Source organism: Homo sapiens, chromosome 12 (genome assembly GCF_000001405.40).
Source record: "Homo sapiens chromosome 12, GRCh38.p14 Primary Assembly".
NCBI classification, from domain to species: domain Eukaryota; kingdom Metazoa; phylum Chordata; class Mammalia; order Primates; family Hominidae; genus Homo; species Homo sapiens.
This window is the reverse complement of record NC_000012.12, coordinates 33,313,158-33,316,266: the sequence shown is the minus strand read 5'-3', so window position 1 is coordinate 33,316,266 and position 3,109 is coordinate 33,313,158. Positions and strand designations below refer to the sequence as shown.

General features: G+C 41.0%; 1 annotated feature.

Moving 5' to 3' along the window:
• Positions 1,839 to 2,009: a silencer, noted in NCBI's record as "fragment chr12:33467193-33467363 (GRCh37/hg19 assembly coordinates)". NCBI's record gives its function as "represses an EF-1alpha promoter that drives an FKBP-Casp9 reporter gene in an ReSE screen in phorbol 12-myristate 13-acetate-treated (for megakaryocytic differentiation) K562 erythroleukemia cells {active_cell/tissue: K562(+PMA)}" and the evidence as "EXISTENCE:reporter gene assay evidence [ECO:0000049][PMID:32094911]".

Below are 3,109 nucleotides of genomic sequence, written 5' to 3'. Positions count from 1 at the left end.
CTTTATTATAAATTAGGCTTTGTGTTAGATGATTTTGCCCAATTATAGGCTACCATATGTATTCTGAGCACATTAAAGGTAGGCTAGGCTAAGCTATGATGTCTGTTAGGTTAGATATATTAAATGCATTTTCAATGTATGATATTTTCAACCTACAATGGGTTTTTAGGGATGTAACCCCATCATAAGTTGAGGAGCATTTGTTATTGAAAAATAGTCTAGTATATTCTGACCGAATAATGAGCAAAACCAGCAAAGCAGATGAAGAAGGAACAGATTATATCTGAGGTTCTCCAAAAAGCAGTGTGTCAGAGTTACCTTCAGGAACTTTGCCCAAATTCTCATATCCACTTCTCTTCCCCACCCCCACCTTTGAAGAATATCTTTTTTATATGGGTGGTTGATATGGTTTGGCTCTGTGTACCCATCCAAATCTCATGTCAAATTGTAATTCCCAATGTTGGGGGAGGGACCTGGTGGCAGATGATTGGATCATGGGGGTGGATTTCCCCCTTTCTGTTCTCATGATAATAAGTGAATTCTCACAAGATCTGGTTTTTTAAAAGGGTGTAGCACTTCCCCCTTCACTCACTGTCTCTTCTGCCACCATGTGAAGATGTGTTTGCTTCCTCTTTGCCATTTCACCATGATGGTAAGTTTCCTAAGGCCTCCCCAGCCATGCCTCCTGTATAGCCTGCAGAACTCTGAGTCAATTAAACCTCTTTTCTCTATAAATTACCCAGTACCAGGTAGTTCTTTATAGCAGTGTGAGAACGAACTAATACAGAAAATTGATATCAAACAAGTTAGGCGTTACTATAAAGATACCCGAAAATGTGGAAGCTACTTTGGAACTGGGTAATGGGCAGAGGTTAGAGCAGTTTGGAGGGATCAGAAGAAGACAAGAAGATGGAGAAAGTTTGGAACTTCCTAGAGACTTGTTGAATAGTTCTGACCAAAATGCTAATAGTGATACGGACAGTGAGGTCCAGGCTGAGGTGGTCTCAGATGGAGATGAGGAACTTTTGGGGAACTGCAATAAAGGTCACTCTTGCTATGTTTTAGCAAAGAGACTGGCAGCACTGTGCCCCTTCTCTAGAGACCTGTGGAACTTTGAACTTGAGAGAGATGATTTAGGGTATCAGGAAGAGAAATTTCTAAGCATCAAAGTGTTCAAGATTTGGCCTGTCTGCTTCTAAAAGCTGATGCTCATTTGTGTAAACAAAAAAAGACCTGAACCTAGAACTTATATTTTAAAGGGAAACAGAGCATAAAAGATTGGAAAATTTGCAGTCTGATCATGGAGTAGAAAAGAAAAACCCATTTTCTGGAAAGGAATTCAAGACGGCAGAAATCTGCATAAGTATAGAAGAACCAAATATTAATAGCCAAGACAATAGGGAAAATGCCCCCAGGGCATTTCAGAGACCTTTACAGTAGCCCCTGTCACCACAGGCCCTGAGGCCTAGGAGGGAAAAATGATTTCATGGGCCAGGGCCAGGGCCCTGCTGCTCTGTGCATCCTTGGGACATAGCACCCTGTGTTCCCAGCTGCTCCAGCTCTAGCCATGGCTAGTGTGGAGGCCAAGATAACTATAAGATGAATTTAGTTTATAAGTTAAATTTAGTTTATAAACTATACACTTTGAGGCAAGGAAAACTGGCTTGCTTCCTTGTTTGGAGATTGAAGCTGCATTCAAGTTTAGAATCATGGTAGGAGCTCGACCTTTGCTAAAGAATAAGCATAGTTAAACAATAACCTGCCATTGTTTAGCTTTCTTTTCTATAAGTTGCTTATCTGTCTCAGTCATGTAACTGGAGGTCACAAGATTTATAACTTCCCCAACTATTCCTGTAGATAACATCACTATTGTGAAATCTAAAGAGCTGGTCTTTGAGGTATTTTTCAGATTTAGCATTTTGGTAGACCAAGGGACAACACCTCATCCTGAGACCCCCCTCCCTGGAAGTGACTCAGCTGCTTGAAGACAGTTTGAACACCCCTGTCATTTCATCCACAGCCAATCAGTTTTTTCTGTTCCCCAGCCACTTGCCCACCAAAGTACCCTTAAACACCCTAGCCTCCAAATTCTTGGGAAAGCAGATTTGAGAAATACCTCCCATCCATCTGCTTGGCTGGTCTTGTGATCATTAAACTTTTTGTTTGCTGCAATACCTGCTGTTCTCAGTACATTGGCTTTTCTGGGCAATGGGCAAGAAGAACCCATTGGGTTATGACAAAAGTATGGTGCTTTGGCATGTTGAGTACTTTAAACTAAATGAGATTGGAGGACTCAGAAGCTGCTTCAAAAACAAAGTCTCTGATCTTCTCATTCCTTCATGTTTCCCACTCCTCTTTTACCCCCAAAGAGAGTCATAGAAACCAGAATTCCCCTCCCCCAAGGTGGGTCATAAAATCTAAAAATGTTATTCTAACCTCCCCCCACCTTTCTATGTAGAAGCTGGCCATAAAGAAATCTCTGACCTACCTTGACAGATTGTAGACCATTAGACCTTCATTCCAGAAGGAGTCCTGCTCTATGCCCAGAGGAAGGAATGCTACACAGAGAAGCCAAGAAGAATCTGAACAGACAGGCAAGGCTGGGCTCCCTCCCCACCCCCACTCAGTCTATTACCATTAGATTGCACTCTTTTTGTCCAGTTACATTTCTACACAGCTCTCCATTCCTCATCAAATTTAAGCACAAAAATGAATAGTTTTCCCTGGGCTTTGGGTCATTATTTCTGCAGACTCCCTTATGTACAACTTTGATTAAATAAATTTGTTATACTTTCCTCTTGTTAACCTATTTTTTGCTATAGGAATGTCAGCCCTGACCCTTATGATGGGTGAGGAAAGGTATTACACCTTTCCACCTCTACATCTTCAATTGAAGTATGTATTAATGGAAGTTAAACACTTTACTTGTTAGTCACCTGGAAGTCTTTGACAGATCACTGATGGGCATCTGAGTGATACAGTTCTTTATAACATACTAATCAGTCACTCCAACCTCTCCTAGCTTTTGAAAAGTTCTATGTTCTATTCTGAGAGATTTGGCCATTTCTTCCATGTTTAAATTACTTGACTTGTGACAAACAGTCTTCTA